The 13,069-nt window shown below is 47.4% G+C and overlaps 1 pseudogene, besides 2 other annotated features; it reads right to left on the bottom strand.

Moving 5' to 3' along the window:
• On the bottom strand, nucleotides 4,701-7,424 carry NOC2LP1 (NOC2 like nucleolar associated transcriptional repressor pseudogene 1; annotated as a pseudogene).
• Nucleotides 7,316-7,395: an enhancer, noted in NCBI's record as "active region_16524". NCBI's record gives its function as "activates an Ori minimal core promoter by ATAC-STARR-seq in GM12878 lymphoblastoid cells {active_cell/tissue: GM12878}" and the evidence as "EXISTENCE:reporter gene assay evidence [ECO:0000049][PMID:35858748]".
• Nucleotides 7,576-7,665: a silencer, noted in NCBI's record as "silent region_11955". NCBI's record gives its function as "represses an Ori minimal core promoter by ATAC-STARR-seq in GM12878 lymphoblastoid cells {active_cell/tissue: GM12878}" and the evidence as "EXISTENCE:reporter gene assay evidence [ECO:0000049][PMID:35858748]".

The following is a 13,069-nucleotide window of genomic DNA, read 5'->3' as shown; positions in this document are numbered from 1 at the left end:
ATAGCAAATCTTATCTTAATTGGATATTGTACCTGCGAATTAACTGATAAAAGGATGAGGTCGGCCGGGCGCGGTGGCTCAGGCCTGTAATCCCAGCACTTTGGGATGCTGAAGCGGGCGGATCAGAAGGTCAGGAGATCGAGACCATCCTGGCTAACATGGTGAAACCCCGTCTCTACTGAAAATACAAAAAATTAGCCGGGCATGGTGGAAGGCACCTGTAGTCCCAGCTACTTGGGAGGCTGAGGCGGGAGAATGGCATGAACCCGGGAGGCGGAGCTTGCAGTGAGCGGAGATCAGGCCACTGCACTCCAGCCTGGGTGACAGAGCGAGACATGAGACTCCATCTCAAAAAAAAAAAAAAAAAAAGATGAGGTCTTTAGGATGCTGAGCACTTAAAATCTAAGCATCCAGAATATTATTAAAATAATTTTAATTAGAGATATGATTTGTAAATAAATGAAAATTCACATATTGTGGTAATATTTCAACAGCATTTTTTTGCTGATAAATGTGTATCATTAAACATATTAAGCGTCTTCTTTCAAGCAGCACTATTCAAAATGTGGTCCATGGGCTTCTGGTGGTCATGAACTATTTGTTACAAGTTCATGATAAATATGGCAATGACAGTCAGCATTTAGAGACTTTTACAGCAATTTGGTAGAGAAATTTAGTGTCTATTGAATGTAATCATAAAGAAATTAAACTTTTATTTTGATTGTTTGTGGCTTACTATTTTAATTTTCTACTAATTTCTTTTTGTTTTGTTTTAACCATAATAGCAGTACATAATGGATGGGAAACTGCAAAAAAGGATTTCACACAGATAATTTGAAAAACATTGTTTTAAAGCATAGAAAACAATCCTAATTTATGTATAATGTATAATATCCTAATTTATGTATAATGTATAATATCCTAGTTTATTTTATAAATTAGCTTAGCCTTGAAATAAAAACCTGACAAATATCCCACAATAAGAAACCTACAATTACATTATGAGTAAAATATTAGCAAACTCATCCAGTCTCAAATTAAAATACTAATATGCTATGACCAAGTTGAATTTTGTTTTTTTTTCTTTAACTTTTAAACTGCAGTGATGGATTAATTTTTAATAATGTGTTATTTATGTTATAGTATTGGCTTAAAAGAGACAATAATATAATTACACTGTTAAATATTCATGAAAAATTATTTCATGAACAACAAAACAGGATATTAAGCAGTAATGAGTACAACTTTTCATAATCATATATTTACTTAGTAGAAAAAATCTGAAATATTATAAACTAAAACATTTACAGTGGCTGTTTTTGTTTTGATTTATATTTTCTTCTTTTGTTTATTGCTATGTTCTAAACTTTCAATAATGCCTTTTTTTTGTTGTTTTTTTTGAGACGGAGTCTCACTCTGTCGCCAGGCTGGAGTGCAACGGTGTGATCTCGGCTCACTGCAACCTCCACCTCCCAGGTTCAAGCGATTCTCCTGCCTCAGCCTCCCAAGTAGCTGGGACTACAGGTGTGTGTCACCATGCCTAGCTAATTTTTATATTTTTAGTTGAGACGGGGTTTCACCATGTTGAAGAGATCAAGAGATCATGAGGTCTCCCAAAGTGATTGGATTACAGGCTTGAGCCATTGTGCCCTACCAGTACTTTTTTTTTTTTTTTTAAGAGACAGGATCTTGCCCTGTCACCTAGGCTAGAGTACAATGGCACGATTATAGCTAACTGCAACCTTGAAGTCCTGGGCTCAAGTGTTCCTCTTATCTCAGCCTCCCAAGTAGCTGGGACTACAGGTGTGTACCACCACTCCTGGCTAATTTATTTATTTATTTGTTGTAGAGATAGGGTCTTGCTATGTTGCCAAGGCTGATCTCAAACTCACAGCCTTAAGTGATCCTCCTGCCTTGACCTCCTAAAGTGCTGGGACTAGAAGCGTGAGCCACTGTGCCTGGACTATAACATATATAATTTTATGTAATAAGTTAAAAAATGTATAGTCATTATCGGTATAAAACATTGCGTGTGCCTGGAGTCTAAATGCCTATAAAACATGTAAGGATTTAATATTACTCACTTACAGGTTTACACGTTTTCCACCAGCTTGTTTTGGAAGTAATTTACTCAATGGCTCATTTTAGTTTCATCTTCAGGAATGAGCAATTTGTAATTGACAAAGAAAAGCAATAAAAAAACCCATTAGCACCTCTCAAACTACTGTGCATTACATGCATTTGCATTAACAAAGACAGATTTTTTGTTCTCTGAAAAGTATCAAGTCTTTTTTTCTCCCCGTGCTGTGGCCTTACTTATTTCCCAGGTAACAGGGTCCAGTCTTCTTCCCTTGAAATTTCCCTCCCCTGATGGGTCTGCCTTCTAGATAGTTCCTTTCTTTGTTTATGTGATTACTCTGAACTTCCCACCCTTCTTTACTGCCTACCTGTCGAATGCTTTTTCTAATAGTTCTAGTCATCGATAATCATCCTTGGGTTTGACTCACGTTGTGATTGATGAAATCTTTTTTTTGAACTACAAATAGGAAAAGCATCCACTTTTTTCTTTGAACACTTAAATCACATGATAGCATTATTTATTATAAAATCACTAATACTCTCTAAATGTCTTGCTGAAATAATTTAGTTCAGTAGTCCCTTTCCTTTCATGTGTATTTAGACTAGATTCCTTAAAGAAATCATAATTTCTTTTAGAAGAATACTTGTCACACACACCAAAAAACAACCCAAAGTGATTGTGTTGAGTGAAAAGAACAAGGTGAGAAATTGTGAATGTATTTAATAGTATTGCATCTTCATTCGTTCTCTCAAAAGAATATTTGCTGAATATTTACTATGTGACAGTTACTGCCGTAGGAGCTGGTGATATGACAAGGAACATACAAGATGGGATCTTTGCCATCAAGTTGCACGCATGTATACGTACATGCATATGTGCATATGCATAGACATAGAGTAAAACATCAGTCTGCAACAAAACAGATTAAGAGGACAGAGAGTGTATACTGGTTATTCTTCATCATCTATCTAGATCTATTCTCTGCCCTTTGCTGCTTGGCTCTTTGTGGCTCCTGTTTTCTATTGCTCATGAAGAGCGAATGCCCTGTTCTTTAGGAAAACATTGTTGGGCTTTTAGACGGTGGACCAGGAAGGCAGATCGCATTCTCTGTTATGGGACATTTCATCAGAAGTGAGTGGAGACTTGGAACTAATGGGACTTTTGCAGATTACTGACAGTTCTGGGGACTCAACAAAGATGGCAGTGGTGTGGCATGGTCCTCGTTCAGGAGAGGGGTGCCACCTTTTAAACAAAGGAAACAGTCAAGGGAAGCTGAGATTTATGTTCAGTACAGAAGGCTTTCTGAGGAGGTGCCCTGTAAATTGAAGTCTGATTGAATTGAGAAAGCGAGTCATTTAAATATCTGAGTGAAGAGTGTTCCAGACAGAGAAAACCACAGTGCAAAGGAAAGTGAGGAGCAGCAAGAAAGCCAATGTGGCTGATGAAGTGACTGAGGGGGTAGTGATAGGAGCTGAGGGTGGAGAGGTAGCCAGAAGCTGGCTACATAGAGTTTTTTAGGCCATATTTTGAAGACTTAACAAAAAATTATGAGTGAGGTTGGAAGGCATTCAAAGGTTTCAACTTTGCGATTTGAAAGTGACAAACTATGACTTACATTTTAAAAAGATAACTGATGGCTGTGTGGCAAATAGACTGTGAAGGGCAGAAGTGAAAGCCAAGAGGCCTATGACACTAGAAGACTAGGTGACTCAGGACAGAAAGTTGTACCGGGGTTGCAAGTGGTGAAGGTCGTGACTGGTCGGATTTAGGAAATATTTTGAAGGTAGAGCTTGCAGGATTTGGTGGATTGAATGTAGAATGTGAGAGAAAAGTGCGAAGTTCAGGATGGCTATAATGATTTTGGCCTGAATAACTGGAAAAATGGAGTTGGTATTTATTGACATGGGGAAAACTATGGGAAGAATTTGGGTGGGAAATGAAAGTTCCATTTTGGACATATTAAGTTTGAGTGCATTTCATATATTCAGTGCACATGGAGAATAGATAGTTGAATATTTGAATCTGAAGTAAAATGGAGAGATTGGTGTTGAAGGTAAGATGTGAAGCTTGTTGCTGAATGTGGCATCTAAAGCCAATTGGGTTGGACAAGATCATTTATAGATGAGCACTGAGCAGGTGCTTTGCTGCATTCTGAGGATGGGAACAGGGCTTCATGGGCACAAGATCTTTGCAATCACGCAAGACCTCTTGCTCAGAAGGGCCCCATGCTTTGTTGAGTGCTCTGCTCTCACTATCTTGAAACTTTTAATAATTTTTGAATAAGAGCCCTGCATTTTCATTCTGCACTGCACCCTGCAAATTATGCAACGGGTTCTAGTTGGGAACATAAAGATCCAGCCAAAGAAAGAGCCAATGAAGTAGACCGAAAACCAAGCAAGTGTGAGGAGGTCATAAAAGCCAAGGGAGTAAATTGTGTGACATGGACAGCATGACCCACAGACTCAAAAAGATGCTGCAAGGTCAAATTACCTCAGGACTGAACATCAACCATTGGATTTAGCAACTTGGGTGTGCTTGTTGCCCATGCTGGAGTGGGTTGAAGAGAGAAGAAAAGAAAAAATGTTGAATGTGAACAACTCTTTTTTTTTTTTTTTTTTTTACAATGGCCCTGCCTCCCACAGCTTTCTTTCTTTCAGTTTTAGACGCAAAACAAAAAAGTTTAAAGGAAAATGTGACTTGAAAGGAAAGGAACAAATTTCCAAAGACTTGGGGGAGTGAATGCAGAGCCTGGTGCGGACGGACAAGGTCTGCAGACGGAGGGCAGAGGTGGTGGAAGGGGCCAGGGACCTGCAGGCCTCCCCCTGGAACTGGGACTGGTCTCCGTCAGCTGACGTCAAGGTCAGCTCCCCCGCGGAGCTGACTTCAACAGCCCACAACTGTGGGGCTTCAGCAGCCACGCCAGCCCAGCCTAGCTCTCGGTAAGTTTGGTCGTTCATGCTGAAAAATAAATATTAAAGCCTGTCCCCTGTCTACTGCCTCCCCCAACTGCACAGACGCCAGCCTCTAGGCCTGAGAGGTGGAAACACTGGCCACCAGCCCGGCAGCCCCTACAGGCCCCCCAGATGGGCTGCCTCAGTCCTCCTCTGAGAGCTGCAGATCCTCCAGCTCATCCTCCGGCCCCTGGGCCAGCCGCTGCAGCTCCCCAGGGGCCAGCCCCGCCTCTGCGTCTGGGTCTCCATCCTCCAAGTTGCTGCTGTCCTCCTCGCCCTCCTCCTTGTCCTCTTTATCCTCTTCCACCCCATGCCGAGTGCTCAGGGGCCCCAGTATCCCTCTTTCCAAGAATCCCTCGGTGTCGTCCTCTTCACAGCTGTTCAGGTCAAAGAGGTCTTTAAATTGCTTCCTGTCCTCATCCTTCCTGTCAGCCACCTTCCTTCGTTTGATCTCAGGGAAGTTCAGGTCTTCCAGCCGCTCTTTGCCACTGATCTCCAGCTGGATCTCCCGGTCATGCAGCTTGCGCCAGTGGCTGTAGTACAAGGTCAGGGGGGTCCCCTCTTCCAGGGTCAGCTTCTGCCAGGCTTCCACTGCCTGCAGAGACACCAAAGGAAACCCTCTGGCGGCGGCTGCAGATGTGTTCCGAGTTCTCCTGAACCTTCCCCAGCAGCTGCTGCACCTGCCGGCAGTAGTTGGCCACCTTGCGCTCCCGGAGGAACAACTTCAGCTGCAGGACCACAGGCAGCGCCAGCTCCGGGAAGCCGATGCAGTGTGCCTGGCTGTGCAGGTACTCCAGGGTGAGGTCGTACAGCTGCTCCACCAGGCCGTCCTGGTACGCCTTCTCCTGCAGGTTGACATTGGACAGCTTCAGGATCACGGAGAAGTTGATGGGCTTGGAGCTCATGCGCCCCGGCTTCCTGCTGAAGTCGACCTGCTGGAACATCTCCAGGATGAAAGGCAGCACTGGGATGAAGGCCCCCGAGCTCCCCGAGAGCAGCGTCAGGGCACGGATGCAGTGCATTCGCAGTGGGTAGAAGCGGGCAGTGGGGATGAGCTTGATACAGCCAATGATGACCTGGGCAAGGGAGTAGACCAAGGGCTGGAGGGCTTCGCTGGGGCCCACAGTGCTCAGGACCCGGCACCACAGGAAGAGGCAGTGCATGTACTGCCAGTTGTACACAGACGTTTCCTTCTTGCGGGTGGTCATGGCGTTGTGCAGGTGTATGGCGAGCTGGCGGATGTAGAGGAAGGCGTGCTGGTAGGCCACACCCGGCTCCAAGGCCAGCAGCTCCGTCAGGGTCCGCTGCATGGAACTGATGAAGGGGAGGGCACCAGGCGAGGTGAACTTGCAGTTCCTCACATACATGATGTACATTTGCTTGAGGATGGGGCCAAGGAAAGTGTCCTTCTTGTGCCGGCAGACTCTGCTGAGGACCAGGAAAGCCAGCACCCGCAGGGACTCCTTCCCTGTGCTCCATACGACCACCATTCTCTTGAGCACTGCTTGGGGAAGGTCAGGAAGCAGGGCACCAGCACGCTGATGTGCCATAGCACGGCCGCCAACACCACTGTCTCTGCCACACAGGACACCAGCTGTATGACCGAGCCCAGGTACGCCTTGATGTCCACACGGAGCTTCCCCCAGAGCAGGCTGCTGGACGGCTGCAGCATCCTGCTGCTGTCCTTTGCCACCTTTCCAATCAGCAGCTTCTGGAGACAGCCAGTAAGGTCTCTGATGCAGAAGGTGACCAGAGCATTGAACACGACCAGAGCATTGAACACAGCACTGTCCGTGACCTGGAATTTGTTGGCCTCAGCACTTTCCTGGTCCCCTTGGGTGGTGGCCACAGCTGCTCGGAACGCCTGTACCACTTCATGGAACAGCTTTGGAGTGAGGCGTTGCTTTGCTGCCTGCTTCCATCTCTCAACCATGGCGAGGGTCACAGGAACACAATTCTTCTTCCCCTTCAGCCCTCTGGGGACTCTGTCCCCATCTTCCCCCTCCTCTGCTCCATCCTCATCCTCACTGGCTTCCTCCAGCACATATGGCAGGGAGTGGAACGGCTCCTCTTCCTCCTCAGAGCTGTCCGAGTCGCTGAAGTTTAGCTGGCTCTGGTCATTCTCCTGCAGGAACTTGTAGAACTCGGCGTCTCTGTCCTTCAGCCGAGAGAGCTGATCTTTGTGCTCAGAGGCACGGCCTTTACGCCGGCTGGCCGAGGGGCTCCCGCCCGGCTCATCCGGACTCCGGGCAGCCTCGCGTGCCTCCCGCGTCTCCGCTTCTGGAGAGTATTCGGACTTAGAGTCAAAGCCCGAAGCTAGGAACTCGTCCACCGTCAGCTCCGCCAGGCGCCTCCTGCGGCGCCGCCCACCTGCCATGACACCAGCCCGCAGCTGGCGCCCCACTTCCGGCCCCAGAATGCCGCGCGGCTACGCACTTCCGTCGCCCAGGTCCCGCCCCGTTACCCGCCCCGCCGCGCCACGCCCAGCCGAGTGGCTCTACGGTTCTCCGACCGCAGCGCCCGCGGCCTCCGGGCGGGAGGGCGCGTTCGCGTGCTCGGTGCGGGCAGCCCCGGTGGGGCCCAGATGCGCCTCCCGCTCGGCGCCCGGCTTCGTAGGACGCGGCGACGCCGGTGTCCGTCCTGGGGAAGAGAGACCAGGAGTCCCGTCGCGCCCGCAGCCCACCCGGCGTTCCGAGGGCATGCGCCTGCGAGAACGCCAGGCTGCGACGGCGGGGCCCCTATGCAAAGAGCTCCCACAAATCAACAATAAAAAGCAGAGGGTCCAGGAGAAAGCGCAAATGGCGGTGGGAACCGCACTGATGTTGCCAGCTCGACAGAAGACGGGCGACCCGAGAGCCAGGCTGGCTTCGCCTCTGATCCGCAGAGACCAGGCCAGCGCCACGAACACCACGCAGGGCGCTCCCCGTCCATGGCCCTTTGGGTGCCGACGGCGCCTCTTCTGCGGCCTTTCCCGGGGACGCCGCATGGGGCGAATGCGGTGGGGAGGCCAGCGCCTTCCTTCCTGCTACCAGCCTGACACCCGGGCCCCCGGGCCTGGACAGCCAGACCCCGCGACAGGGTCGCCCCGGGGCGCAGGCGCGGATCCCCCAGACCTGGCGCTGAAGGGGGCGCGTGAGCCGGACGCGGCCAGAGTGCCCTCAGGGTCCCATTCGGCCTCTTGGTGCACCGGGGCCCCGTGGCTTCCCAGAGGAGAGCAAGTTAGGGGGTCGGGGGAGCGGGGATGGCTTCTGGGGGAGGAGGAGGGCGAGGCCTAGGGGTTTCTCGGAGGAGGAGGAGGGCGAGGCTTAGGGGGCTTCCCGGGAGAGGAGGAGGGCGAGGCCTGGGGGGCTTCTCGGAGGAGGAGGAGGGCGAGGCCTGGGGGGGCTTCCTGGAGGAGGAGGAAGGCGAGGCCTAGGTGGGGCTTCTCAGAGGACGAGGGCAAGGCCTGGGGGGCTTCCCGGAGGAGGAAGGCGAGGCTTAGGGGGGCTTCCCGGAGGAGGAGGAGGGCTAGGCCTGAGGGGGGAGGTTCCCAGAGGAGGAGGAGGGCTAGGCCTGGGGGCGGGGCTTCCCGGAGGAGGAGGATGCAGACCCGGGGCGCAGCGCTGGAAGGATCCGCGTCCAAGGTCTAGTCCCCAAAGCCTCTCGGGAGGCCGGGCGGGCGGCGCCGAGCGAATGTGAACAACTCTTGCAGTCACTTTTCTTGGAAATGGGAAGCTTAAAATTGGGTAGTAGCTGAGAAAGATACAGGTTCAAGAGAGGGCTTTTTTAAGATGGAGGTATGTGTTATAAATGAGGGATTAAGTACCCCTTGTGGAGTCCTTAAGGAACATTCCAATAGGCTGTGGAGATGACTTTGGGAAGGCATATGAATAAAGGATTTACTGTACTCACAGGTTCCAAAGAGGGAGGCACGACATACCTTGTGGGGATCACCTGGGCAGAGCACCAACAAAGCGGGCTCAGCCAAGCAGGTGGGGAGCCAAGGGCAAACAGGTTCCTGTGGACAGTTACCCTTATTGGGCATCAGGGTGGGGTTCACCAGCAAAGGCAGGAGGGGATATCATGGGTGTGCTTAAATGTCACTAGGCCATGGTCAGGGGAGAGTAAGAAGGGGGACTTGTGACAGGGACCAGCCTTGTCACATTGGTGTACCTGGTCATCTGGGAAAGGTGCCCACAGCTTGTTTGTAGAGATACTGAGGAATCAGGAAAATGGGAAGTTTTTAGAAGTTGCAATTCAAGATGTTACGGTACATCATTTTTCTTGGCAATGACTCATTAAAAAAGAAGAAAAAACTAATGAGGCAGGAATGGAAATAATTCCAGGAGCAAAGTCCTTTAGGAGGAGTGGGGAACAGGATCCAGTACAAAGTGGGGGGTTGGCCCTAGAAGCCAGGGAAAGCCGAGTGCATGGAGACAGATGTCTGTGCCTGCTGCATTTTGTAGAATGATCCATTCTGATTTCTCCTGTATCAAAATTGAAGCCTTCAGGTGAGAGTGAGAAGCAGAGAGGAAATGTTGAGGTTTGAATAAGAGAAGAATACGGAACGGTCGTCTAGGAGGATGGGCAAGCAAGGAGACCAGAACTGGCAGGCAGCGCAAGGGCTGCTGAACAGCCCGAGCAGTGAAGTGGCTGAAATAGGAACATCAGGTGTCTCTGGTGATTATTTCTTTTTTGTAGTTTTCTGATTTTCCAGATGTTCCCTAATAGGCATTATCTTACTTCCACAGTTATCCTTTTTTAGACTGTTACAGAGGGGTGAAAAATAGAACATATAATGTATGAGAGAGGACTTAGGATTTGGGGAGGTGTCTGGGGAAACAGAAAGAGATAGAAGACCTCATTCTGTTTGCCTGTAAAAACAATGCCTGCAATAGATGAAAAGTCCAGTTTTCTGCAGACATGTACAAAATGTTTTTGACCTTTTATTCAGGCCAACAGATTTACTCCATTTCTAGGTCTGAGCCACCAATTGGGTTTCTTCATTGAGTCTGAGTGTTTGATAGGCCAAGTGGTGGAAACTGTTCCCAAGTTCTGAAACTAGGGGAGCCTCCATTCTGGGCTCTGCAGTGGTGAGGTGCACTCTCATCCCTGCCACATTTTAGTGGGAAGCCTGGTGAGGCTCATTCAGGGACTATGAAAACATCTCTTACACCAGAACCTCACTAATCTTGTAAAGTTTGCTTATTTGTTAAAATGATTAAAAATAAACATTAGAAGTTGAGGTCCTTGATATCTGTTTTCAGAGTTTCTTAGCCACTCTCTATTTATTATATCTTAATAGATTTGCCTGATTTTTTTAAAATTTCAAATCAAGGTCACTGTTGTGAAAGGGAATTTCAGAGATAATACATTGTTATGAAGGGCCGGGCGTGGTGGCTTACACCTGTAATCCCAACACTTTGGGAGGCTGAGGTGGGTGGATCATGAGGTCAGGAGTTTGAGACCAGCCTGGCCAACATAATGAAACCCCGTCTCTACTAAAAATACAAAATTTAGCTGGGTGTGGTTGTGCACACCTATAATCCCAGCTACTCGGGAGGCTGAGGCAGGAGAATCGCTTGAACCCGGGAGGTGGAGGTTGCAGTGAGCCGGGATCATGCCACAGCACTTCAGCCTGGGCGACAAAGCCAGACTGTGTCTCAAAAATAAATAAATAAATAAATAAGTTCCTCTGAGTTATTTACCATCTTTCTGTTGAAATCTTTATTGAAATTATAAATCTCAGCTTTCAGAACAAGATGTGGTAATTAAATCCTATGACTGTTAAAACACACAGAGCTCAGCTGTGTGGACGCAGAGTAACTGCGTGGGGTGTGAGGTAGGGTGTGTGTTTAGAACTCTGCAAGTTGAAGATTTCAGAGACAAGGGCAGCTGCAGAAGTCCTGAGTTTTACACTAGGACAAAAGAGAATAGATTTTTCTCTTATGGTGGAAAGAATATTTAACCCAGCAATATGTATTTAGATGATGTCATACTTTCTTCTTGAAATATACAAACCCTTTGATGAATTTCTTTCATATTTAAACTCTTTCATAATGAATCTCTTAAATAATAAATCTTTCTAATACATTTTTTCAGTCTTTGTATTCATACACCAATGTAAATTCTTTTTTTTTTTTTTTTTTTGAGACAGAGTCTCGCCCTGTCACCCAGGCTGGAGTGCAGTGGCACGATCTCGGCTCACTGCAAGCTCCGCCTCCCGGGTTCAAGCGATTCTCCTGCCTCAGCTTCCTGAGTAGCTGGGACTACAGGTGCCCACCACCATACCCGGCTAATTTTTAGTAGAGTCGGGGTTTCACCGTGTTGGCCAGGATCGTCTCCATCTTCTGACCTTGTGATCCACAGACCTTGGCCTCCCAAAGTGCTGGGAGTATAGGCTTGAGCCACCACACCCGACCGTAAATTCTTAAAAAGACAGCATATTTATTAAGTTCATGTGTTATTGCTATTGGAAACAAAGACACAGTAGATAAGGAGTATTGCATGAGCACTGGATCTGAGTTGAAAACTATGCTTGGAAGACACTAACAGAACTATCTTCAAGTCCGTTAAAGGGAATTATTTGCAGCCAGGCATTTTTTTCCCTGAAGTAATATCTATGACTTCTTAGTAGATGGTCTGAAGTGGCAAGGTAGGAACTTCAGTTATTGTAGGTGAAAACCTCAAGCTATGGCTGGGCATGGTGGCACATGCCTGTAGCCTGTACTCAGGAGGCTGAGGCGGGAGGATCTCTTGAGTTGAGGAGTTTGACGCTATAGTGCACTATGATCACTCCTGTGAATGGCCGTGGCACTCCAGCCCGGGCAACATAGTGAGACCCCATCTCTAAAAAAAATTGAAAATTAAAAAAACTTTCAGATATGCTTAGAAGCAGATTTTTCAAATCCCATGGGGAAGGGCTTTAAGAAGAGTATGATCAGTAACCAGCTAAACAATGATTAAAGCATCATCTTTAGAAGATGATGAACTAAAGGAATCTAAATCTTATTGCCTGAAACTCTTTGCAGTCAGGCAGCTTAACTGGGTGTCTTTGAGAAAATTATTGTCTCATTTATCATATTTGTGCAATGAAAATAATACCTACATTGTACGCTTGTGGAATTTAAATAACAAAATATTTTATATATCTACATATCTCTTGGATATAGTACAAGTTTAAAACATTGTAGTTTATTATCAGTTTCCTGAGAGATGGCACCAATGGCAAAACGGTCACCAAAGCTATTCCTTTAGAATTAGAGGACAGTCCCCACTTCATGGACAACATGTGAGTCTATGCACCCACAGCATCCGTCAGCCTGTCCTCTCTCCTTTTTTAAAGAGCAAAACAGGAATTCTGTTGTGATTGAAGGACTTTCTGTCCATCCCTGGAATCCTAGATGCTTTGAGATACCTGCATAGAAGTTGCAGACTTTTTTCAAACACTAATGGAATAAAATACTGTCATTGCCTCTCTTTTTTCATAGCTAGCATAGAAGACTGATCTTTTGGGTGGGAATTGGGTGGGTGGCAACCTCATCCAAGGATGGGGGGCTACATAAGTTGTAGAAGACCTTGCCAATCCAGGTAGGTTGTAACTTTAGGCTCTGTGTGGCTGGTCAGGGAGTCAGTCACTGGCTTGACTCTGACCTTCCAGGAGCCTGGCAGTTGAAGAGGATCTCAGGGTGATCTGATAGAGAACTGCAGAAGGTGAGAGTCAAGTTAGCCTCTTCCAGACTTATTACAGTCCCCTAAAGCATTAATGACCTTTTTGCCTAAAGCTGATACATGGACATTTTTAGTTCATTGACCTTCAAATAATTACAGCTGTTTGGAAAGCTCTTGGTCATAGAAACTGGTAGTACTTCCAAACTTTTCAGTGATGTTTATCATCTTTTTTTTTTTTTTTTTTTTTTTTTTTTGAGATGGGGTTTTGCTCTTGTTGTCCAGGCTGGAGTGCAATGGCGCGATCTTGGCTCACCACAACCTCTGCCTCCTTGGTTCAAGCAATTCTCCTGCCTCAGCCTCTGGAGTAGCTGGGATTACAGGCATGTGC

The sequence above is a fragment of the Homo sapiens genome, chromosome 2 (genome assembly GCF_000001405.40).
Source record: "Homo sapiens chromosome 2, GRCh38.p14 Primary Assembly".
NCBI lineage: Eukaryota > Metazoa > Chordata > Mammalia > Primates > Hominidae > Homo > Homo sapiens.
Note: the sequence above shows the minus strand (reverse complement) of the source record. Positions and strands in the feature narration are given on the sequence as shown.